This window comes from Homo sapiens, chromosome X (genome assembly GCF_000001405.40).
Source record: "Homo sapiens chromosome X, GRCh38.p14 Primary Assembly".
Classification (NCBI taxonomy): domain Eukaryota; kingdom Metazoa; phylum Chordata; class Mammalia; order Primates; family Hominidae; genus Homo; species Homo sapiens.
The window spans coordinates 126,999,412-127,025,643 of record NC_000023.11 but is presented as its reverse complement, the minus strand read 5'-3'; positions in this window follow the sequence as shown (position 1 = coordinate 127,025,643).

Here is a 26,232-nt window from a genome sequence, read left to right as displayed (position 1 = left end):
CACCAGTCACTCTTTATTGTATTCTGTCTCCTTTGAGACAACAGAACCAGTAACATTTCCTATGTGCCTCAAGCCTTTTAATATAAATATACTTTGTTTTGTCCCAAAGTGGTTCTGTTGACAGCTGATGTAATACCTTAGTTCTTCTTAGTTTAAAATAATTTTAAAAAGAGACACACAGCAAAAGAAGTGCAGCATCGAGTAATTTATTGCAAAGGAAAAATATTTTGTAAGTTAGGTGCAGAATAGACAGTACACCTTGAGAGAGAGAATTCAAGGCAGGCTGTGCACAAGGACAAGACAGCAAAGAGTGGCATCAGGGAGACTCCCTTTGTGGGAGTCTTACATGATTATTCATAAGGAGGTGGGAAAGGGGTGTTACTAGTAAGCATGTTCTGGGTGTTCCGCTGGGTACACATGCATAGTAGCTGTACATATTTGTTCATACATTGGATGTCTCATTAGCATCTTAAATCTCAACCCAGGAGGTTTTTTTGTTTCTATTACAAGGAGCAAAGGGTCACAAAATGTGCATGCTCTCTAGAGGGGAAAGTCACTTCTAAAGATAGCTTTGCTTGAATGCACTCAATTACAATGCGAATACTGAGGCTTATTATATTGACTGTAAGGTCACCACAGTTACTGCATTCTGAGAACGTGGATATTTCCTTGACTACCTATTCTGCCTCAGTTCCATCACCCGTAATGAATGAACCCTCTCATCTTTTGTGAGACTACTTAATAAGTTATTCCAACTTAGCTAAACTATTGTCAACTCTGTAAAGATCTACCTAATCCCCTCCCCTTATTCCTCTGCCTCCCATTCTTTACCCCCAGATTCTAGTAACACTCTCTCCTCTGTGGTCACACAGTATCCTAAGTATATTTACATTGTGGCACCTAAAGTACTACTTTTTCATCAATATCTTCTTTCCCCATTCATTGTGACTTCCTTGAAGGCAGTAATTTTGACATTTTTTTCTTTTGTATCTCCTTGATTTCTAGCTCAGAGAAAGCTCTCAATAACTGACTTTAAGATGAATTAATTTGACCTTGCATGCGATTGGAAGCCATAAAATATTTTGAACGATAGAATAACATCATAACTGTGATTCAGGAAGATTATTCTGGTATCCTTGAGAAGAATGGGTTAAATGCCTAAGACAAAGTGAGTTGGGCCAGGCACAGTGGCTCTCACCTGTATTCCCAGCACTTTGGGTGGTCAAGGCGGCCGGATCACAAGGTCAGGAGTTCGAGACCAGCCTGGTCAACATAGTGAAACCCCGTCTCTACTAAAAATACAAAAATTAGCTGGGTGTGGTGGCTGCGCCTGTAGTCCCAGCTACTCGGGAGGATGAGGCAGGAGAATCGCTTGAACCCAGGAGGCAGAGGTTGCAGTGAGCTGAGACCGCACCATTGCACTCCAGCCTGGGTGACAGGGCAAGACTCTGTCTCAAAATAAAGAAATAAATAAATAAAAATAAAAAAGACAAAGTGAGTTTACTAACACGCCTGAAAATTAGCATTAAGATAAATTTGCTTCAAAATGAGCTTTTCTATTATCAATAACAGTTTAGGGATTTTTTTTTAAAGCGTTTAATGATTGTATGTGGTCACCCTGTTAAATGTCAAGGGAGGTTAAAATCATGCTTTTAAGAATACTTTGCAGATACGGCACCTGGTAAACACAAAACTATGATGAAAAATTACAGTTTCCTTTTAAGAAACAGCTAGTTGTAAAGGCAGAAGGTCTCTTGGTGGGGAGGTCAGAGTAGGAATGCCACCTCCTTAAGCTTCTGAAGCAATAGCTTACTAATTAAAACTTCCCAAACACACACCAGATATACAGACATACCCACATAGGCATAAAGGAGTTAATAGTGTCATCAAGAAGATAAGCTGTGGTTCTCAAGGGAATAGTCAGTTGGTAGGATTTATGACACACCTGCATTCTGTAAAGAAGTCCTGACATTTGTCTGGTTAAGAAAGGTGTGGGAATTACAAAGATCTCAGCAGTTCCATATGAATACTGTGCTTGGAAAACGTGGGTCTAGTGTTAATGATCATTCAGGGGAGAGAAGAAGAAAGACACTGTTGATCTTGTTATTTTTGCTGGTATATGAATGAAATTTGCTTTTTCTTTTGATGAGTTAGGTTGGTGAACAAACTGATTAGGTACGCAAAACAAGGGACACAAACTGGGTGTAGGTCCCAACATGTAATATGCTAACCCTGCATTCAGTATGAAGAATGTTTTCTTTTTAAAATTTTATATGTAAGGATGTACTTTTGTATGTTTCCTGTGTGCCATACTGATGTATGTAGGATTTTAGTTTTACACAAATTTAAGTTATTTCCTCTAAGAACTTTTCTTGTATTACTTTTAATGCACATGAAAAGTACAAGATGTTAAAAAGCTACAGACGACACTGATTGTGATTCCTTCCCCCCGTATCTTAGTTCTGAAGACGTTACTTCATACACACACACACATACACACATACACACACACACACACACACACATACATTAAATGCCTTCAGCTCAAATATAATTTTTATGCCAAAGATATATTTTGGGGTGAAATATTTTGGTTTTCCTCACTAGAGTGGAAAAAACACAATATATTAAAAGAGAATACTAAACATGATTTTATGCCAATGAATTAGATAAAATAGACTATTTTCTTAAAAAAAACTTTTCATAACTGATACCATAAAATAGAAAAGTGAATAGAATGATAAACAATAAAGAACTGAATCAGTAGTTCACAATCACACACATACACACACACAAACGTGCACATGCACATATGCACACACCAGGCCCAGATTATTCTATAGGTAAGATCTGGAAAACCCATGGCCTACATGTTTTCCTGTTTCATTGTAACATAATTGATAAACCATAAAATTCACCTTTTAAAGTATGAAAGTCAATATTTTTATACTTGCAAGGTTTTGCAACCATCACTTCTATTTAATTTCAGATTATTTTTATCACTCTAAAATAACTTCATATTTGTTAGCACTCACTCTCCATTCTCCTCAACCCTCAATCCCTAACAACCACTAATCTGTTTTCTGTCTCTGTGGATTTTCCTATCCTGGATATTTCATAAGAATGGAACCATGTAATATGTGAGTTTTGTGACTTACTTCTTTCACTTAATGTTTTTAAAGTTTATTCACATGGTAGACTGCATCAGTACTCCATTTCTTTTAATGGCTGAATAATATTCCATTTTATGTATAGACCACATCATATTCAGAAGTTCATCAGCTAATGGACATTTGAGTTGTTTTCATTTAATGGTTAATGTTTTCATTTAATGGCTGTTATGAAGTACAAATTTTCATGAAGACATATATTTTTTATTGTCTTGTATATCTATGTAGGAATGAGATTGCTGGGTTCCTATAAAAATTGCCAGTTTGTTTACCAAAGTGGTCATCCCATTTTACCAGCTCACCAGCAATGTGTGAGAATTTCAATTTCTCCAAATCCTCACCAACACTTTTTATTATCTGTCTGCTTGTTTATAGCTATTCTAGTGGATGTGAACCAGTATCTCATTGAAGTTTTGATTTGCATTTTTCTGATGTCTAATGATATTGAGCATCTTTTCATGGACATGTTGGCCATTTGTATATCTTCTTTGGAGAAAGGTCTCTTCAATTCATTTGTGCATTTTAAAATTGGGTCATTTGTCTTTTTATTGTTGAGCTGTAACAATTATTTTTATATTCTTGATATTAGATGCTTATCATATATATGCTTTATAGTATACATTTTGCATACATTTTTCCATTTTGTGAGTTTTTTCACATACTAGATAGTGTCCTTTGAAGCACAAAAGTTTTTTATTTTGAAGGTCCAATGTTTCTATTTTTATTTTCTTTTGCCTTCACTTTTGCCTCCATATTTAAGAAACCAATGCCAAATTCAAGGCCATAAACAGTTAACCATTTCCATCTATTAATTATATTTTTAGCTCTGAAATTTATGTTTTAACCAATTTTGAGTTAAATTTTACATATGAAATGAGGGAAAAGAATAATTTATTGTTTGCAGGTGGCTACTTAGTTGCCCTATTGTCATTTGTTGTAGAGACTATTTTTTTCTCCATTGAATGGTCTTGGCACTTTTATTAAAACACAATTGGCCATAGACATATGAGATTTTCTGGATTCTTAATTCTGTTCTATTGATCTATATGTCTATACTAATGCCAGTACCATAGTGTTTTTATCTTTGTAATTTTGTAGAAAGTTTTGAAATCAGGAAGTGTGAGTCCTCCAATTTAGTACTTTTTCAAAATTGTTTTGGCTGTTTTTGTTCCCTTGCATTTCCATGCAGATTTTAGGCTCAGCTTTTCCATATTGTGATGGATTTATAGATCAATTTGGCTAACATTGTCAACAATAACAAATCTTCCAATCCCAGAACATGGATGACTTCCTCATTTAGGAAGATAGGTCTTCAACTATCTTTAGTGGTGATTTGTAGTTTTCGGTGTACAAGTCTTGCAATTATTTTGTTACGTTTCATTCTAATTACTTTATCCCTTTGATATTATTATAAAAAGAATTGTATTGTTAATGTCATTTTCACTTTTTTCATTTGCCTTGTATAAAAATAGTACTGAGTTTTACACATTGATCTTATATCCTGCAACATTGATAAATTTATTTACTAGCTCTAATAGCTTTTTGTTGCTGTTGTTGATTCCTTAAGATTTTCTAAATATAAGACAATGTCATCTGCAAATAGAGATAATTTTAATTCCTCCTTGGCAATATGGATGGCTTTTAGTCCTCTTTCTTGCTTGATTGCCCTAGATAAATTATCCATTACAATGATGAGTAGATGTGCTAAAAATGATATTTTGCTTTATTCTTTGTCATAGGAATAAAGCTTTCAGTTTTTAACTATTAAATATGATGTTTGCTGTTTTGTTTAAAATAGATGGCCCTTATTAGGTTCATAAAATTTTTCTCTATTATTAATTTGTTCAATTTTTTATCATGAATGAGTATTGAATTTTGTCATGTGTCTTTTCTGTGTATATTGAGATAATCATGTGTATTTGTCCTTTATTCTATTAATGTAGTGTATTATATTAATTTTTTTTTGTTTTTTGGTTGTTTAAACAACCTTACATTCCTTGGATATATCTCCTTTGGTCAAAATGTATACTCTTTTTTAAATGTTGTTAGGTATAAGTTGCTAGTTAAGTGGTTCAGAACATGCCATCCCAAAATATACCACTTGGGCATATTGATTATTTTGAGCTGGAGGCACTTGAGAAACAGCAAGGGCAGGAAGGGCTCTCCGACCTCTCATTTCTTTTCTTTTCTTTTGTTTTGTTTTTTTTTTTGGAGGTGGAGTCTCTCTCTATTGCCCAGGCTAGAGTACAGTGGCACTATCCGGCTCACTGCAACCTCCGCCTCCCGGATTCAAGCGATTCTCCTGCCTCAGCCTCCCTAGTAGCTGAGACTACAGGTGCACGCCGCCATGCCCCGCTAATTTTTCGTATTTTAGTAGAGACGGGGCTTTCCCGTTTTGCTCAGGCTGGTCTCGAACTCCTGAGCTCAGGCAATCTCCCCGCCTTGGCCTCCCAAAGTGCTAGGATTACAGGCATGAGCCACTGCGCCTGGCCTCTGACCTCCCAATTCTACTTAAAAGCAGTTCATACTATTTTTCTTGAGAAAGGCGCCCTCCCTGTACCAGGAAGAGAGCATTCTTATCACCAGATACTTGGAGTCAACACCAGAATAGACCTGTACAAACAAACTTAATAAAACAACCTTTATATTCATTAGTTTCGGCCATATTTTTGGCCATTTTATACTTACAGTCTAACAATTACTGCCCCTAGCCCAAGACCCCTTGTCTTGTCACATCGCCAAAATGTATCATTCTCTGTGTAAAAAGATAGATAAGCTTTTGTGCCTAATGGTTTCTTCTACTCTTCTTTTCTGAGGACTCCCATGTAACTGTAAAAAAGTATTAAATAAATTCGTATGCTTTTCTCCTGTTAATCTGTCTTACGTTCATTTAATTCTTATGCCAGCCACAGAACCTAAGAGTGTAAAATGAAGTTTTCCACCCCTAAACTATTATTATGTAAACAATTTTGTGTCTTTATGAGAGGTATTGTTGTCTAGTTTTTCTCTTTTAGTGATGTCTTTGTCTAGTTTTGCCATCAGATAATAAGGGTCTCAGAATAATTTGGAAAGAGTTCCCTCCTCTTCTATTTTTTTTTTTGAAGAGTCACAAATTTGTTTTGGAGATTCATAAAGAAGCAAAGGTTTATTTTAAATATCAAGGACAGTTCCCAGTACATAATTGAACAGCCTTGCCCTAAACACAATAATTAACCCAACATAATTTATGAAGTCAATGAAACAATATTTACATTTTCTTTATAATGTAAATCTGTAATGATAACGTGTCTGGCTCTTGCACTGAACATTAAAGTTTTCAGTGTACGCTTACATCTAGTGTCTTATTTTTATCTTCATATATTCTTCTAGGAAAAGTAGAGCAGTTTCTAATTTTGTTGTATTCTTTTTTACTTTTTTACTATGACTTTCTAGAGTAAAGGGCCCTTGCCCTAAATCCAAGACTGGCTCTTCAATTTTGCCTTACCCTGTGTCTTATATTTGGGCCCAAATTATATTAAGTAATGGAAGGAGATGTACAAACCATAATATTGGAGAATCAGACAGCAAGTGTTCAGCAACAAAGAGATATGTTGTGATGTAGTGTTAGTGGCTAAAAAGCAAGGAAACAAAAGAAAGGAGGGAAAAAAGAAGTAAAGCTTTATAACTTATTTTGTTAGACCAGCATTATGTCAATGCCAAAACAAACAAGTAAAACTCGTGAAGGAAAAATAATAGGTCACTTCATTTTGGAATATAAATAAGTTTAAAATCCTTAGTAAAATAATAACAAAATTAATCAAGCAATTAAGATATATGAACAAATTGGATTCTTCTGAAACAGCAAGGATGTTTTCACATTAATGACCTACTTACATAATTAACCACATTTACAGGCCAAAGGAGTAAGAGAAATTGCCAAAAAATTTAAAACTCATTTGTAATTTTAAAACACAGGCATAGCAAATAAAGAAAAGAATGAGAATATCCTTAAGCTGATAGAGTATATCTTCTAGGGGATTTTGAATGAATTTCTCTTTAAAGCAGAACAAGAAAATCATCTTGTCTATCATTTTTCTATATAATATTGAACGAAAAAATCTTTGTTGGTGAAGCAAGATGATTTTTTTTAAAGAGAAGGAAGGGATACGTTTAAGGATTGGAGAAAAAACTACCATTCCTTGCCAGATTAAACAGTCATCTATATTAAGAAAAAGTTCAAGAGACTTAAAGGCTATTTGAAATGTTCAGAGAGCATAAGAAATGGATGAATACAATTATTAAAATATAAAACTCATCTGAGTTTCTATGCACCAAAAATAAACAATAATTTAAAGTTTCCATTTATAATAGAAACCAAAAATACATGGTACCAGGGAATAAAGCTTACAAAATTGAGCAAACTATTTTGGGATAAATTATAAACATATAGTAAAAAATATAATGTAAAACTTAATGGAGTGATACACTATTTCCTTGGAAGGAAAGACAACATGACATATATGACAATAATACGTTGTAAATTCAATGCAGTTCCCCTCACAATTCTAAAAAAAAATTTTGAAAACTGACAAACATAAAAATTTTCTATAGATCCAAAAATATATGTAGATATATAAAAATCAAGAATAGACAGTATAATTTTGAAAAAAGGGAGGTATATCTTATAATACTCAAAACTATTATAAATATTTTATAAGGAATACGTTATTCTCACAGGGATGTACATTTTCCAGTGGACACAATATGAGCCTGTACATATACAGAAACCTGATATATAAAAGTAAAGGATATTAAAAATAAGTACAGAACAATACAAACCTTTCAATAAATGATACAGGGACAGTGAATTACATTTATAAAGATATTTCTATTCATTTTATATCTTCCACTAGGAAAAATAGAAATCTCAGATTTAGTAAATATTTAAATATAAAAAGCAAAATTGCAAAACTTTTAAAGAATGTTGAGATAGTATCTTTCACCTCAAGATGGAAATAGATTTTTATATATAACACACACAAAAGACTTAAATCTATTAAAAATGAGTAACACATTGAGCTATTTTAAGCCTTTTTATACAACAAAATTAAGCCCTTCTGTACAGCAAATGAACTACAAAGAATATTAGAAAAACATCTTTCATATCAGAAGAATTATTTGCAATATATCTATCTGACAAAGGGTTAGTATCTAGAATAATTTTAAACATCACAAGGAAATAAGAATCATAAAAATTCAAAAAGGAAGACAAAAGGGTGTGTAATTTACCAAAATGAAGACTTTGGTTGGCTAATGTATACGTAAAAACATGCTGAAACACATGAAACATCAGAAAAATGTGTATTAAAAAATGAGACATACGTATCAGATAAGAAAAAATAAAAAACCCACAATATCAGGTTTTGCAATGTTATGCAGATAATGAGATGCTTACACACCTTTGGTAGGTGTGTAAATATGCACAAGTCCTTTGGAGAATAAGGCAATAATAGTTAGTAATGAAAAAAATGAGCATGCCTAGCTATTTCAATGCGAGTTATGCATTAGAGAAGCTCCCGTACATGTCCACATGGAGACATTTTCAGAGTAAAATTGTAGCACTTAAAAGTTTTTAAAAAGAAAACAACATAATTTTAATCAAGAAAGTGGATCATGGTACACTTGTAAAATTGAGTACTATAAAACAAAAACCCACACATAATTTTAAAAAGCGTGTGGATAAATGTCATAAGGTTGGATAAAAATGTTAAATTGTTGAATTACAAGTACAGAATGATTCTAATTACATAAAGTTTAAATAATGTTTTGGGATACATCAATATGTTATGAAAATATAAAAACATGCTTGAAAATCATGACTATCAAATTGAAATAGTGGTCACTTCTAGAAAGGGAGGAAGGAGAGTCTGATTTTAGGGGTGTATGCTTACATACTCCAAAGATTTGTTTATGAAAACAAGGATCAGAAACAAAGATGGTAAAAAAAAGTCATGACAAAACTGTTCTAAGATATCTAAGTAGTTTTTATATTATACTTTAAGCTTTTCTGTACATTCATAACAGTTGTTTTTGTGGATGGTGACTCAAAGATAGACTCTATCTGGGATGAATGAGTGGTGTACTTGTGACATTAGAAAAGATACAGAATAAGTGAAGTAGAACAGGTTTTGGAAGCAAGATGATGAATTTAATCTTAGCCATGTTTGGTTTGAGGGCCTTGTAGAATGTAGGATGAGAACACCAAGCACTTAAGTTAGAATTAAGTCCTGAATATGGTGTCAGTGCAGCAACTGGGGCTAGAGATAGATCTTTGATATTCATAGCCTATATGTCTCTGATGAAATCACATCCTTTTATTCAAAAGGAAGGATCAAAGGATGGGGAGACTGTGTAGAATGAGGCAGTCAGTTTTCTGAGAGCAGAGCTATAGGAAAATTAATTTTTAAGGAATGAATAGGGAAAGTAGGTCCACAAAAAGCAAGGAGGAATAACTTTCAAAATTATTAGGAGGACTCAGAGACAGTTGTTTTGCAGGAGTCAGTGGAGCAGAGAGTGTTAAGAACAAGTGGTCAGCTCTTAACTAGCGGAGATGGCCAGGCCAATTAAGACTAAGAAGTACTTTCTTTGATTGTGTGAGAGGCAAACTGGCATCACTTAGTGTTTGTGTAAATATCATCTGTTGCAAATCAAAGTAATTTGGGAAAGCTATGTGTTACGCTGTACTGGTTAGTTACAAACTTTTCAGAGTTACAACGATCTGATGTTTTAAAACGCTGCTAAAATATATGAGCCATTATCATTAAATAAGTTTATATAATTTATTTTCAACTATCTTTAAGACTTTTTGGTCACGTTATTTCACATCCTGAGTAGCATTTGAGTCCATTTAATTACCATTCCATTGGTAATCACATAAGAAAAAGCTACTGTTATTACTTGCCTAGACAGCAATTAATGGGCACCCAATGCATCTTCCTGCATTAACCATTGACTCTTCTCTAATTCGTCTCCCGCACTGGAGAAGAATGATGCTGATGCCTGGAATGTGTGCCCCTCTCCCTCTTCCAGTTATCTTTTATATGTTATTTCCATTTCAGCTTGAATGTCACCTTTTCAAGGAAGCCCTCTTTAATCACTAGATATATTCCATGTTTTCATAGCATCCTACACCTTTCTTTTTCATTTTGAGATAAATGTAGATCCATATTCAGTTGTAAGAAATAATACAGAGTGTACCTGTACTGGATTTCTCCCAGTCCTAGCAACTATAGCACAACAGCACAATTAGGATGTTCACATTGACACAGTCAAGATGGATCATGTATTAGTCTGTTCTCACACTGCAAATAAAGACATACCTGAGACGGTAATTTACAAAGAAAAGAGATTTAATTGACTCACAGTTCCACATGGCTGGGGTGGACTCACAATCATGGTGGAATCTGAATGAGAGAAAAGTCATGCCTTACATGGTGGCAAGCAAGAGAGCTTCTGTAAGGGAGCTCCCCTTTATAAAACCATGAGATCTCATGAGACTTATTCACCATCATGAGAACAGCATGGGGAAGACCTGCCCCGATGATTCAATTACCCCCCACCAGTCACTTCCATGACAGGTGGGAATTATCGGAGCTACAATTCAAGATGACATTTGGGTGGGGACACAGCCAAACCATATCAGATAGCATTTCCATCACTACAGGGATATTTATTTTTCCCTTTTGCCCACACCCACTACCTTTTGACCCTCCTCACCTCCCCAACCCCTGGCAGACTAACCAGTCTACATTTCCATAATTTCATTATTTCTAAAAATGTTGCATAAATGGAACCCTAAAATATGTAAATTTTAGAGATTTTTTTTCACTGAGCATAATTCCCTGGAGGTTCATCTTATCATTTATGCATATCAATAATTTTTCCTTCTTATTTCTGAGTAGCATTTGAAACCTTATAGCATTTTACAAAGTTTGTAATCATTCATTAGTGTGATTGTTTGTTTAATGGTTGTCTCTCTAACTAGACTGAATACTCCATTAAGGCAGGTATAATTTCTCTTAGATGTATCCTTGTGTCTCCATCACTTAGTACGCTATAGTAATTTGTTAAATATTCAATGATGAAAGGATTTATTGAGATTACTAGTAGATACCTCAGAGTATGTGAAACCAGAATTAGGTGTTACTGCTATATAATGATTTCTACATTGTGTATATTTTGCTAATGTATAAATGTATTTATTGAATAATTATTTATTATTTACTATATGTCAGGTACTGTTCTAAGTACTGGAAATCCAACAGCAACAAACAAAAACAACGAAAAAACTCCCTGCCCTCTGGAATTCACATTCTAGTCTAGGGAGCTAAATAATCTTAAAAATAAATTATATTATATATTTAAATATTGATTATCTACCCCCCTTCCATGTAGACAAAGCATGGAAAGGAGATAGAAAGTGCAGGAACGATTGTTATGGGTAGTCAGGGATGACCTCATTGAAAAGGTAACATTTAACCAAAGATTATAGAAAGTGAGGAGATAAATCATTTGGGTATCTAGGAGAAAAGCATGTAACCAGAAGGAACAGCAAGTGAGGAGTCTTCCTAGAGTGACTGAATAAGAAAGTACTAGAATATCACTGAGCTGAATGACTGAGGGGTAAGTAGCAGGAGATGAAGTTAAAGAAATAATAAAGAGTTTAGACCTGGGCTGCCCAATATGGTAGTCACTGGCCACATGTGATTGCTGAGCATTTGAAATGTGATTAGTTCAAATATGTTTTTAAAATGGCCAAAAAATCAAAAGAGACATTTCCCAAAAGAAGACATATGAATGTTAAACAGACATATGAAAAGATGCTTAACATCATTGATCATCAGAGAAATGCAAATAAAAACTACAGTAAGATATCATCTCACCCCAGTTAAAATGGCTTATCTCCAAAAGACAGGCAATAAAAAATGCTGGCAAGGAGGTAGAGAAAAGGGAACTCTTGTACACTGTTGGTGGGAATGTAAATTAGTACAACCACTATGGAGAACAATGTAATTTTTTATATTGTTCAATATAAAAATATAACAATTTTTGTGAAGTTTCCTCAAAAAACTAAAAATAGAGCTGCCATACATCTAGCAATCCCACTATTGAGTATATACCCAAATAAAGGAAATACAGTGACCAGTATAACAAAGTAACATCTACACTGTCATGTTTGTTGCAGCTTTGTTCACAAGGGTCAAGATTTGGAAGCAAACTAAGTGTTCATCAACAGATGAATGAGTGAAGAAAATGTGGTACATATACACAATAGAATATTATTCAGCCATAAAAGGACTGAGATACTGTGATCTGCAACAACATGATACAACTGTAGCATAATATGTTCAGTGAAATAAACCGGACCCAGAAAGACACATTTCACATATTCTCACTCATTTATGGGAGACAAAAATGGAAACAATAGAATTTATGGAGATAGAGATTAGAATGATAGTTACCAGAGGCTGGGATATGTAGTGAGGGGGTAAGGGGAAAGAGAAGAGGGTTAATAGGTACAGAAAACAGTTAGAAAGAATGAATGATATCTAGTATTTGATAGCACAACAGGGTGACTATAGTCAGAATAATAATTTAATTGTACATTTTTAAATAACTTAAAAGTACAATTTGATTCTTTGTGACACAGAGAATAAATGCTTGAGGTCATGGACACCTCATTTACCCTGATTTGATTATTACACATTGCACACTTGGATCAAAATTTCCCATATATCCCATAAATATATACACCTGCTATGTCCACACAAAAATTTAAAATACAAAAATGTGTTTAGTTCAAATTGAAATATACTGTTAATGTTAAATACACATCAGAATTTGAAGAGTTAGTATGAAAAGGAGAATGTAAAATATTTCATTATTAATATTTTTATATTGGTTACATGATGAGGTGATGTTTTGTGTATATTGTGTTAAATTTATTCAAAAATTATATTGCCCATTTTTTTAACTTTTTTTTTTTTTTTTGAGACAGGGTCTCACTCTGTTGCTCAGGCTGGAGTGCAGTGGCAGGATCTTGACTCAACTTCAACCTTTGCCTCTGGGAATCAAACAATCCTCCCACTTCAGCCTACCAAGTAGCCGGGACTACAGGCATGCACCAACATGTCCAGGTAATTTTTGTATTTTCTGTAGAGACAGGTTTTGCCATGTTGCCCAGGCTAGTCTCAAACTCCTGCACTCAAGCGATCTGCATTGGCCTTTCAAAGTGTCGGGGTTACAGGCATGAGCCACTGCACCAAGCCTTTTTTCTTTCTTTAATGTGGCTATTTGAACATCTGAAATTACATAATTTCTCACATTAGATTTATTTGGGAGAATATATGACTATATCTTATAGCTCCTCATATTTGACTTTAAAAGATTTGCATTTTACTCTGAAGTTTGAGGCTGTTGAAAATTATTGAATAGAGGAATAGATTGTCTAATTTGAACTTTTGAAGAATTATCTGGGCTTATCTGTTGACAATAGACTATAAGGGTAAAGAAGAAGCTATAAGGGATACTAGTTATGAGGGTGTTGCACCATTTCACACAAGAGATGATGGCAGCTTGGGTTGGTTTGGTAGTGGTGAATTTAATGGGAAGTGGTTAGTTTCTAAATGTATTTTGAAAACGAAACCAAAATATTTCATGACATATTGGATGATGCCGAGTATGAGAAAAAGTCAAAGACAAAGTTTTTGGCCTGAGCAACCAGAAGAATTGAATTACATCTGTGAAAACAAGACCAGCTACAAGTGGAACAGATTTGGAGAAGAATACCAAGGGTCTGGATTTGAATGTATCAAGTTTGAGATGATTATTAGATATTAAAATTGACATCTTACATAGGTAATTGGATACAGAAGTCTGGATTTGAAGAAAAAGACCTAGGAGGGAAATAAACATTTTGTAGTAATTAGCATATAGATGGTATGTAAAGTCTTTTGAAATTGGATGTGTCCAACAAAAGAGTTAATGTAAATAGAGCAAAGAAAGATCTAAGAAATGAGCCTTAGAGCTTTCCAAATTTACGAAGTTATGGAGGAAGGAAAACCTTCAAAGAAAGTCTTCTTCAAATGTATTTTACTGTTAAAAAGTTTGCTTTTGTTATTGAACTTCCTTTTGTGAAATCATTAGACATTCCCATTGCAGTTATTAAAGCATAAATACCGCTTTCCTTTAATCCCTCTAGATTTCCTATTTTTTAACTTTAATTTTAAGTTGAGGGGTACATGTGCAGGTTTGTTATATTGGCAAACTCGTTTCATGGGGGTTTGTTATACAGATTATTTCATTACTCAGATATTAAGCCTAGTACCCATTAGTTATTTTTCCTGATCTGCTCCCTCCTCCGACCCTCCACCCTCCGGTAGGCCCCAGTGTCTGTTATTCTCCTGTATGTTTCCATGTGATCTCATCATTTAGCTCCCTCTTATAAGTGAGTACATGCAGTATTTGGATTTCTATTCCTGCGATAGTTTGCTAAGGATCATGGCCCCCAACTCCATCCATGTTCCTGCAAATGACATGATCTCATTATATTTTATGGCTGCATAGGATTTCATGGTGTATATATACCATATTTTTTTTATTCAGTCTACCACTGATGGGCGGGCATCTGTGTTGATTCCATGTCTTTGCTATTGGGAATAGTGCTACCATGAACATGTGTGTGCATGTGTCTTTAAGATAGAACAATTTATATTCCTTGGGTATATACCCAGTAATGGGATTGCTGGGGTGAATGGTAGTTTTGTCTTTCTGTCTGTTGTTTGTATTTTTTTTGTAAATTTAAGGTCTTTATAGATGCTGGATATTAGATCTTTGTCAGATGCACAGTTTAAAAAAAAAAAGTCTCCCATTCTCTAGGTTGTCTGTTAACTTTATTGACAGTTTCTTTTGCCATGCAGAAGCTCTTCAATTATATTCCATTTGTCGATTTTTGCTTTTGTTGTAATTGCTTTTGGCATCTTCGTTATGAAATCTTTGCCCATTCCTATGTCTGGAATTATATTGCCTAGGTCGTCTTCCAGGGTTTTTATACTTTGGGGTTTTACATGTAAGTCTTTAATCCATCTTGAGTTAATTTTTGTATATGGTGTAAGAAAGGGGTCCAGTTTCAATCTTCCATCTATGGCTAGCCAGCTATCCCAGCACCATTTATTGAATAGGGAGTCCTTTCTCCATTACTTGTTTTTGTCAAGTTTGTTGAAGATCATATGGTTGTAGGTGTCCAGTCTTATTTCTGGGTTCTCTATTCTGTTCCATTGGTCTATGTGTCTGTTTTTGTGCCAATACCATACTGTTTTGGTTACTGTAGCCCTGTAATATATGTTGAAATTGGGTAATGTGATGCTTCTAACTTTTTTTTTTTCCTTTGGATTGCCATGGCTATTTAGGCTCTTCTTTAGTTCCATATGAGTTTTAAAATAGTATTATTTTCTTTTAGTTCTCTAAAGAATGTTATTAGTATTTTGACAGGCATAGCATATAATCTATAAATTGCTTTGGGTAGTATGGCCATTTTTACAATATTGATTCTTCCTATTCATGAGCATGGAATGTTTCCATGTGTTTATGTCATTTCTGATTTCTTTGAGCAGTATTTTGTAGTTCTCCTTGTAGAGATGTTTCATCATCCTGGTTAGATGTATTTGTAGATATTTTATTCTTTCTGTGGCAATTGTGAATGGAACTGCATTCCTGATTTGCTCTCAGCTTGACTGTTGTTTGTGTATAGGAAAGCCAGTCATTTTTGTACATTGACTGGGTATCCTGAGACTTTGTGAAAATTATTAATATTTATGAGCTGAAGAAGCTGTTGGGCCAAGACTATGGGGTTTTCTAAATATAGAACATGTCATCTGCAAAGAGGGATAATTTGACTTCTTCTTTTCCTCTTTGGATGCCCTTTATTTTTTTCTTTCTCTCACCTGATTACTCTGGCCAGGACTTCCAATACTCTGCTGAATAGGAGTGGTGAGAGAGGACATCCTTTGTTTGCACCAGTTTTCAATATGATGCTTCCAGCTTTTGCCCATTCAGTATGATGTTGGCTGTGGTTTTGTCATAGATGGCTCTTATTTTGAGGTATGTTCCTTCAATACATAATTTATTGAGAGTTTTTAACAAAAAGAAGTGTTGGAATTTTATCAAAAGTCTTTTCTGCATCTGTTGAGATAATCATTTGGTTTTTGTATTTAGTTCTGTTTATGTGCTGAATTACGTTTATTGATTGGCGTATGTTGAACCAAACTTGCATTCCAAGGATAACTTGCCTACTTGATCATGGTAGATAAGCTTTCTTGCTGTACTGCTGGATTTCATTTGTCAGTATTTTGTTGAAGATTTTAGCATTAATGTTTATCAATGATATTGCCCTGAAGTGTTTTTTGTTTGTTTTGTTTTGTTTTTGGGTTTTTGTTTGTTTGTTTGTTTGTTTGTTTTTATCTCTGCCACGTTTCGGTATCAGGATGATGCTGGTCTCATAGAATGAATTAAGAAGGAGTTCCTTCTTCTCAATTGATTAAAATAGTTTCATTAGAAATGGTATATCTGGTAGACTTTGGCTGTGAATCCACCTTGTCCTGAATTTTTGTTGTTGTTGTTGTTAGTAGGCTATTTATTATAGATTAAATTTTGGAGCTCATCATTGGTGTGTTTAGGGATTCAATTTCATCCTGGTTTGGTCTTGGGAGAGTGTATGTGTCCCGGAATGTATTTGTTTTTTTTCTACATTTTTCAGTATATGTGCATAGAGGTGTTCATAATGTTCTCTGATGATTATTTGTATTTATGTGTGGCAGTGGTAACATCCCGTTTGTCATTTCTAATTGTGCTTATTTAGACCTTCTCTCTGTTTTTCTTTATTTGTCTAGCTAGCAGTCTATCTATTTTATTAATGTTTTACAAAAAAACAACTCCTGGATTCATTGATCTTTTGAATAGATTTTCATGTCTCAACTTCCTTCAGTTCAGCTCTGATTTTGGTTATTTCTTGTCTTCTGTTAGCTTTGAGGGTGGTTTTATCTTACTTCTCTAGTTCTTTTAGTTGTGATGATAGGTTGTTAAATTTTGGTCTTTCTAAGTTTTTGATATGGACATTGTGATGGTTAATATTGAGCGTCAACTTGACTGGATTGAAGGATGCAAAGTATCATTCCTGGGTGTGTCTATGAGGGTGTTTCCAAAGGAGATTGACATTTGAGTCAGTGGATTGGGAGAGGCAGACCCACCCACAATCTGAGTGGGCACTATCTATTCAGCTGCCAGTAAAGCTAGAATAATGCAGGTAGAAGAAGGTGGAAGAAGCTGACTTGCTCAGTCTTCTGACCTTCATCTTTCTCCAGGGCTGGATGCTTCCTGTTGTCGAACATCAAACTCCTATTTCTTCAGGTTTTGGACTCTTTGACTTACACCAGTGATCTGATAGGGGCTGTATTAGCCAGTTTTTACACTGCTAGTAAAGACATACCTGAGACTGGGCAATTTACAAAGGAAAGAAGTTTGATGGAGAACCAACAGTTCCATGTGGCTGGGGAAGCCTCACAATTATGGTGGAAGGCAAGCATGAGCAAGTCATGTTTTACATGGATGGCAGTAGGCAAAGAGAGAGCTTGTGAAGGGAAACTCCCTTTTTAAAAACTATCAGATCTCATGAGACTCATTCAGTATCATGAGAACAGTACAGGAAAGACCCAACCACCCATAATTCAATCACCTCTTACCAGGTTCCTCCCAAGACATATGGGAATTGTGGGAGCTACAATTCAAGATAAGATTTGGGTGGGGAAATAGCCAAACCGTATCAGGGAGTCTTGGGCCTTCAGCCACAGACTGAAAACTGCACTGTCACCTCCCCTACTTTTGAGGGTTTGGGACTCAGACTGGCTTCCTTGCTCCTTAGCTTACCAAAAGCCTACCGTGGGACTTCATCTTGTGATCTTGTGAATCAATGCTCCTTAATATATACCCCTTCATATATACGTCATCCTATTACTTCTGTCCTTCTAGAGAACCTTGACTAATATAGACATTTAGTGCTATAATTTTCCCTCTTAACACTGCCTTAGCTGTGTCCCAAAGATTCTGGTATATTGTATATTGTATCTTTTTTTTTTTTTTTCATTAGTTTCAAAGAACTTCTAGATTTTTGCCTTAATTTTATTATTTACCCAAAAGTCATTTAGGGGCAGGTTATTCAATTTCCATGTAATTGTTTATGGTTTTGAGATAATTTCTTAGTCTTGATTTCAAATTTGATTGTACTGTTTTCCAAGAGAGTGGTTGTTATTACTTCAGTCCTTTTGCATTTGCTGAGGAGTGTTTTTGTCTGATTATTTGATCGATTTTACAGCATGTGCCAAGTGGCAGAGAGAAGAATCTATATTCTGTTGTTTTTGGATGGAGAGTTCTGAAGATGTCTATCAGGTCCATTTGACCCAGTGCTGAGGTCAGGTCCTGGATATCTTTGTTAGTTTTCTGTCTTGATGATATGTCTAATACTGTCAGTGGGGTGTTGAAGTCTCAAGCTGTTATTGTGTGGGAGTCTAAGTCTCTTTGAAGATTTCTAAGAACTTGCTTTATGAATCTGGGTGCTCCTGTGTTGCATGCACATATATTTGGGATAATTAGTTCTTAATGAATTGAACCACTTGCCATTATGTAATGCCCTTTTTTTCTTTTTTGATCTTTATTTGTTTAAAGTCTTTTTATTCTGAAATTAGGATTGCAATCCCTCCTTTTTTACTGTTTTCCATTAGCTTGGTAGATTTTTCTTCATTCATTTATTTAGCTCCTGTGGGTGTCATTGAATGTGAAATGGGTCTCTTGAAGAAAGCATACCAATGGGTTTTGGGTTTTTATTCAGCTTGCCACACTGTGCCTTTTAATTCGGGTGTTTAGCCCATTTACATTCAAGGTTCATATTGATTTGTGTGGATTTGATCCTGGCATCATGATATTAACTGGTTATTATGCAGACTTGTTTGTGTGGATGCTTTATAGTGTCACTGGTCTGTGCACTTAAGTGTGTGTTTTGTAGTGGCTGGAAATAGTCTTTCCTTTTCATATTAATGCTTCTTTCAGAAGTTCTTGTAAGTCATGTATTGTGGTAACATATTCCCTCAGCATTTGCTTGTGTGGAAACAATCTTATTTCTCCATCACTTATGAAGCTTAGTTTGGCCAGAAATGAAATTATTGGTTTCAATTCATGTTCTTTAAGCATGTTGAATATTAGTCCTCAATCTCTTTTTGTTTGTAGAGTGTCTGTAAGAGGCCTGCTGTTAGTCTGATGGGCTTCCCTTTGATCTGCCCTTTCTCTCTAGCTGCCTTTGACATTTTTTCTTTCATTTTGACCTTGGAGAATCTGATGGTTATGTGTCTTGGGGATGTTCTTCTTGTGAATTATCTTACTGGGGTTTTCTGCATTTACTGAATTTGAATGTTGGCCTCTTTAGATAGACTGGGGAAGTTCTCATTGATGATGTCATGAAATATTATTTCCAAGTTGTTTACACTCTCCCCATCTCTTTCAGGGACTCCAGTGAGTCATAGATTTGGTCTCTTTACATAATTCCATATTTCTTGAAGGTTTTATTTGTTCCTTTTTATTCTTTTTTTTCCCTTTTTTTGTCTGTCTTATTTTACAAAATCAGCCATCAAGCTCTGAGATTCTTTATTTCAGTTCGTCTATTCTGCTATTAATACTTGTGACTGCATTATTAAATTCTTGTAGTGTGTTTTTCAGCTCTGTCACGTCAGTTACATTCTTTTCTATACTGGCTGTTTTGTCTGTCACCTCCTGTATTATTCTATTTTGATTCTTACCTTTCTTGGATTGAATTTCCACATACTCCTGCATTCAGTGATTTTTGTTCCTATCCATATTCTGAATTCTATTTATGTTATTTTATCCATCTAAACCCAGTTCAGACCCCTTGCTAGAGAGATGGTGTGGTTGTTTGGAGGAAAAAAAAGGCACTTTGGCTTTTTCAGTTGTCAGAGTTACTGTGTTGGTTCTTTCTCATCTTTGTGGACTGATGTTTCTTTAGTCTTTGAAGTTGCTGACCTTTGGGTAGTTTTTTTATCCTGTTTGATGACCTTGAGGGTTTGATTGTGGTACAAGGTGGATTCAGAAGACTGGAATCATATCAGAAAGATTTTAGGGGGCCAGCACTCAGCTCTTAACTTCTGTAATATGTGTTCTAACTCCTCAAGTTTTGGAATGCACTGCGCTGGCTGGGGTGTTGGGAAGGCAGTGAGGTGCACTCCTGACACAGCAATGGCAAAGCAAGGTGCATGCACACAGACCTGCTGGCAGGGCAAAGAAGGCAAAACCTGCCTACACACATACATGCTGGCAAGCAGTTAAGGGTGTTGACATGTGCCTGAGGGAAGCTGCAGTGTTGGGAGGGAGTGCTTGGGATGGTGTGTGGCCATAGGAGCCACCCTGCTAGAGTTCTCTGCCGGTCAGGCATAGTCAGCTAGTTTAGAAGCTATAATGTGGGCCCCCACGGGTACCTGAGGCTACCCTACAAGCAAGTGCTGCCAGGCTGGGGACCCAGGAGAAGGCAGCAAATAAAGGGGTTCTCAAGTCAGACCAGCCCTGTCTGATAGGCAAGACCGACCTGCAGATTCAAGTGCAACAGTTTCCCTGGGCTAAAGTCTCCTATGGGAGCAGGTTGAGCCTAGGGAAATGGGATTCTCTGGCCATGCTCCCCTACAAATGATATTGCACCAAACTCTCTGGGGTCCCCTTCAGCTGATGTGCTGCCCCTACGACTTCCATAGGCAACTCTCCCTACCAACTCGAGTGTCCCTGGTGATTGAGAGGTCTCCTCCTGCTAGGATTCCAGAGGCCCACGGCAAGATCAGAATACTCCTTGCCAATTCAACTTATCCATTTCCCTGGAGTCATTTAGGAACAGAAACACATGGTAGCCGCATGCAATGTTCCCAGCTTCTCCCCACTTTAGCCAAGCTTCTGTGTCTTCCCTCTGTCCACACACAGTGCCTTCCCTCTAAAGATTTATTAGGAGGGTGTCAGTTATCTCCGTCCCTCAGTGGCAGCTGTTGCACCTAGCTGTGTCTAGTCACCCATTGTCAATTCCTGTGGATTTCAAATTTCTCCTGTCCTTGATCATATACTTTCAGGCCCTAAAATGACCAGTTACTAATCTGAAAATTGGACAAATTGTTGTTAAGTAGATGAGAATGATGTATTGGTTATCACATCCTGATAGCACAGTGACCTTTTTAATGAGAACTTCAAATGGCCTATTTAAAGGACTTGGTTATAGAACACTATTGTAGGTTTCTGAGGGAGATCACTTTGTGCCCTTGGTCAACAACATAAAGGTGGTGTATATTAACAGCATGATATAATAAAAAGAGCACTGCACTGGGAGATCAGGAACCCTGAGTTCAAGTTCCAGCTCTATTATTCTTCAGTTGTCTCTGTGGCTCCCGGAAGCTGGTCCGACTTAACTACCAGCCTATGTTAAATATTTACACTGATTACAGGTAAAGAAAAAGTAGAGGGCTTTTCAGGTAGCTAAAATATCTCATTTTAATTGCTATACTTCTGACTGAGAATATTTTCTAATTGTTGAATTAAAATGGGTGAAAGTAGATGACAACAGCTATAGTGTGTGTGATGGTGAATATTATTTTAAAAGCCTTTACTTGACACATGCACACATACCAGTTAGCAGCATCTATTTATCATTTACCTATTTATCCATTTAGTTTTCAATTTTTATTCTTTATGATGTCAAAAATCCTGAGAACCATTAATACTAAGTAGATCACTTCAGCATTCTGGGCCTTGTTTGTTTCTGTATGCACAATTACAAGAGTATTGCTATGGTTTGAATGAGTCCCCTAGAAGTTCATGTGTTGGAAACTTAATTACCATGTAACAGTACTAAGAGTGGGGTCTTTAAGAGCTGATTAGGCCATGAGGGCTCTGTCCTTATGTAGCGATTAATGCCATTGTCATGGGAGTGGATTAGTTATCACAGCAGTGGCTCCCTAATATGAAATATGAGATTCACCCAATTTCTTCTCTTGGTCTCATGCATTCATTTCTATCTTCTACCCTTCCAACATTGTATGAGCCACACCAGATGTCAGTGCCATGCTCTTGAACTTCCCATTCTCCAGAACTTTAAGCCAAATAAATCTCATTTCTGTATAAGTTACTCAGTCTGTGATATTCTGTTACAGCATCAGAAAATAAACTAAGATAAGTATAGATAAATGCAAGAAAATAAAATGTGCTAACCTCAACATGAAGCAATATTTAAGGTAAAGAAAGGGAAGTGTAATTGTGAGGGATTGGGCTTCAGCTGTATTCATAATTTTAAAACAAAAGTTATAAAATAAATATAGCACTTTTAATATTTGTAAAAATCATGTTAAGTACATGGTTATAATTGCCTCTTCTATTTTAACTATTTCATAATAAAAATAGAATAATAATAACAACAAGTAAAAGGAAGTCAGACTATGTGAATATAGGCTACGTTTTGGAATCAGAGCTAGGGTCAAATCCTCTCTCTGTTATGTACTAGCTGCTTTTCCTTAAAAAGCCAGTTAACTATTTTACCATTTCCTCAGTTAGGTTTTAGTGATAATAATTCCTGTCTTGCAGAGTTGTTGTAAATTACACCCTTGAGGAAAATAAATAAAATCTCACTCAGTTTTTTACAATTAGTAATGGTATAATTGTGTAGGGATCTTAGGCAAATGATCAGGTCTCACAGGAATATTCATGCAGTTAAATGCCATTGGTCCTAGAACAGAGCTGAACAATTAGAAGACTCCAATACAACTCTAATGATTCAGTTATTTTATTATCTTCTAAGCAAGATTAAATTAATTTTCTTTCCTACATGTTGTTAGCTCTTAGCTGGGCATGGTGGTGCATGCTTGTAACCTCAGGTACATGGCATGTTATCTCAGTTGGAGGCAGGAGGATCACTTTAGTCCAGGAGTTCAAGATTAGCCTGGGCAACATGAGTGAGATTCCATCTCAAAACAAAACAAAAAAAAAATGGAGTTGCTTCACTCTCCTATTATCTTCCCCACTTCTAAGACTTCTACCATTATCCTGCCAACCTTGTTATTGCCCAATCCTCAATCCTTTTTTTACCCCCAGCTTCTGACACTTCATATTATTTGCATAGTACCTTCATTTTGAGTTCATTGTGATTTGTCACTTGCCACCAACCAATAAACTCTCTTTCAATATCATAATCAACTTGATTTTACTAATCTACATGCTGTTGGAAAAGAGTTTCCAACCAGGCTATCGTGAAGCTTCCTTGCCAACTATAGATTTGTTGCCTTTGTATAAGGTGTCCTTCCAGTTAGTAAGTCAAAAATGGCAAATCATTTAGTACAGTGTATCAGCATATTATTTATGAAGAACAGAAGCCTGCATGAGTGTCAAACAAAGGTAATAAATGCTGCTCCCACACTTCCTTAATGGGCCCACCTAGAGCATACATATAAAGGACCTAGCAGAATATCTAATACAAACACCGAAGAGGATTTTCTTATGCAGATCTGTGTGCCCCAGAAATCATCTAAGAGATGGTGATGTCTAAACTGAACCCTAAAGGATGAGTAGGAGTCAGATTCACCAAGGAATAGGGGGATGAGAAGAGAAGGGTGAAATATTCGAGTACAAGGGAGGAGTATGTCCAAAGATCCTGAAGCCAGAGAGTAAAGTAAGCTTGTAGTATCAGAGCTTGTGAAGTGTTAAATTTGATAAAAGAGAAGCAAGCATTGTGAAATTTGACAGATTAAAAGACGCAAAGAGTTAAGTAATATATTTCTATTCAAAGAGTCATAAAACAGGACAGGCTCGGTGGCTCACACCTGTAATCCCAGCACTTTGGGATGCGGATGACCTGAGGTCAGGAGTTCAAGACCAGCCTGGCCAACCATGGCCAACATGATGAAATCTCATCTCTACTAAAAATACAAAAATTAGCCAGGCACAGTGGCGGGTGCCTGTAATCCTAGCTACTCGGGTGGCTGAGGCATGAGAATTGCTTGAATCTGCGAGGCAGAGGTTGCAGTGAGCCAAGATTGCACCACTGCACTCCAGCCTGGGCAAGAGAGCAAGACTCCATCTAAAAAAAAATACAGCAACAAAAAACAAAGAGTCATAAAACAAAGTTTTTATTTATTTATTTTTATTTTTTGTTTTTTGGGTTTTTTTAAAAAGAATCAAGAATACACTCCACAAAATATGCAAGATTTTTACCTGATTGTGTAACTTTCAAATATGGTAACAGCAAGAAAATGATCACTTTCACATGTAGTAAATCTTTATTCTTTTGTAGCAGTTGGGAGAAAAAACCATCTGAGTTGCTGAAATAACATTTATGGGATACTTTAAAAGGAATTGTCTTTAAAGTTTACTTTCCTATATACTAATAGTAGCCAAAATTTTCAAAGTGCTTTCATATAAAAGTCATTATTTAATTATTTTTTACTCTGCTATACATTAGGTAACATAATATTTATATCTATTTTTTTCTATAAATTATGCAAATCTCAGAGAGACTAATAATTACCTGGAGATCTCGAAGCCAAATCATAGAAGAACTAAATCTGAAGTCATTTCTCTTACCCCACGTTACTTGCCCTCTTCACTGCATGAACTGTCTCTGTAAATAATGCCCTTATGGTCTTTGACAGTGGAACATCTGAGGAGTTAAGAGTTATTTGTGGGAATTCTTGTTTGTTTTCTTTAGTAATAAAGGTGAGTGATCACACAGAACAACTGACTACTGCTTTGCTAATTGTACATCCACAAGTACCACTCATATAGTGTGTGATACAAACAACATCTCTTCCACCCAGAGTTGTGCAGTGAAGACATGGATCAGTCAACACTCCTATAATCAACAGCTCACATTTTCAAGACTACTAAAATTATAGCAGGGTGCTATGTGTCCCCCCACATTTTTGTTTTGGAAAATTAATCCCCAGTGCAACAGCACTGAAAGGCAGGGCATTTTGAAAGGTGTTGAAGCATTCATGACTGGATTCGTGTTGTTCTAAAAGGACTCGATGGAAGGTGTTCATCTCTTGCCCTTTTACCTTCTGCCATGTGCGGACATAGAATTCTTCCCCTCCAATGGATGTAGCATCTAGGTGCCATCTTGGAAGCAGCACTCAATGGATAGCTGAACCTGCCAGTGATCTGATCTTGCATTTCCCAGCCTCAAAATAAATTTCTGCTTTTTCTAAATAACCCAGTCTCAGAAATTCTGTTCTAGCAGCAGGAATGAACTTAGACAAAGGGATAAATTTGAGTTTAGAGACTATCTAATTAAAATATGTTATTTTACATATGAAGGAACTGAGACTTGCAGATTTTAGTTTATACTTATGAGACCAAAAGCCAGTTATTTTTTTCCCCATACATTGATTCTTACATAATACACAAGTTTTAGGTATAATTTTAGATGATGGAGGGAACTAATCTACTAAAGGATGAACTACTAATCTAAGTATTGGCTGAATGGTTAATATAAGAGAGTGATAGAGCATATTAATATGATATACATAGATATTTTTATTTATGATGGCTTTTATTGTTTAGATCATTGGTTCTCAAATTTTAGAATGTCTCAGTATCACCTGGAGAGCTTGATGAAAACACATGGATGTGTCTGACCTCCAGAGTTTCTTATCTGGCAGATCTGAAGTAGGACCTGAACACTGGCATCAGCAGCTAATGCTGCTTGACCATAGACCAAATTTCAAAAACTATTGGTTTAGATCAATGGCTATAAAGACAAATGATATTCTACTTAAAGCTGTGTGACCTTTGGCACATTAATATTTCAGCCTTAGTTTTTTCATCTGTAAAATAATGAGATATATCTTATATGGATTTAGCATAACATGAAGAAATACATAAAGAGTGCTCTGTGCATGATATCTAAGGATTTTGATACATATATTCCATTTTTATCATTATCATTATT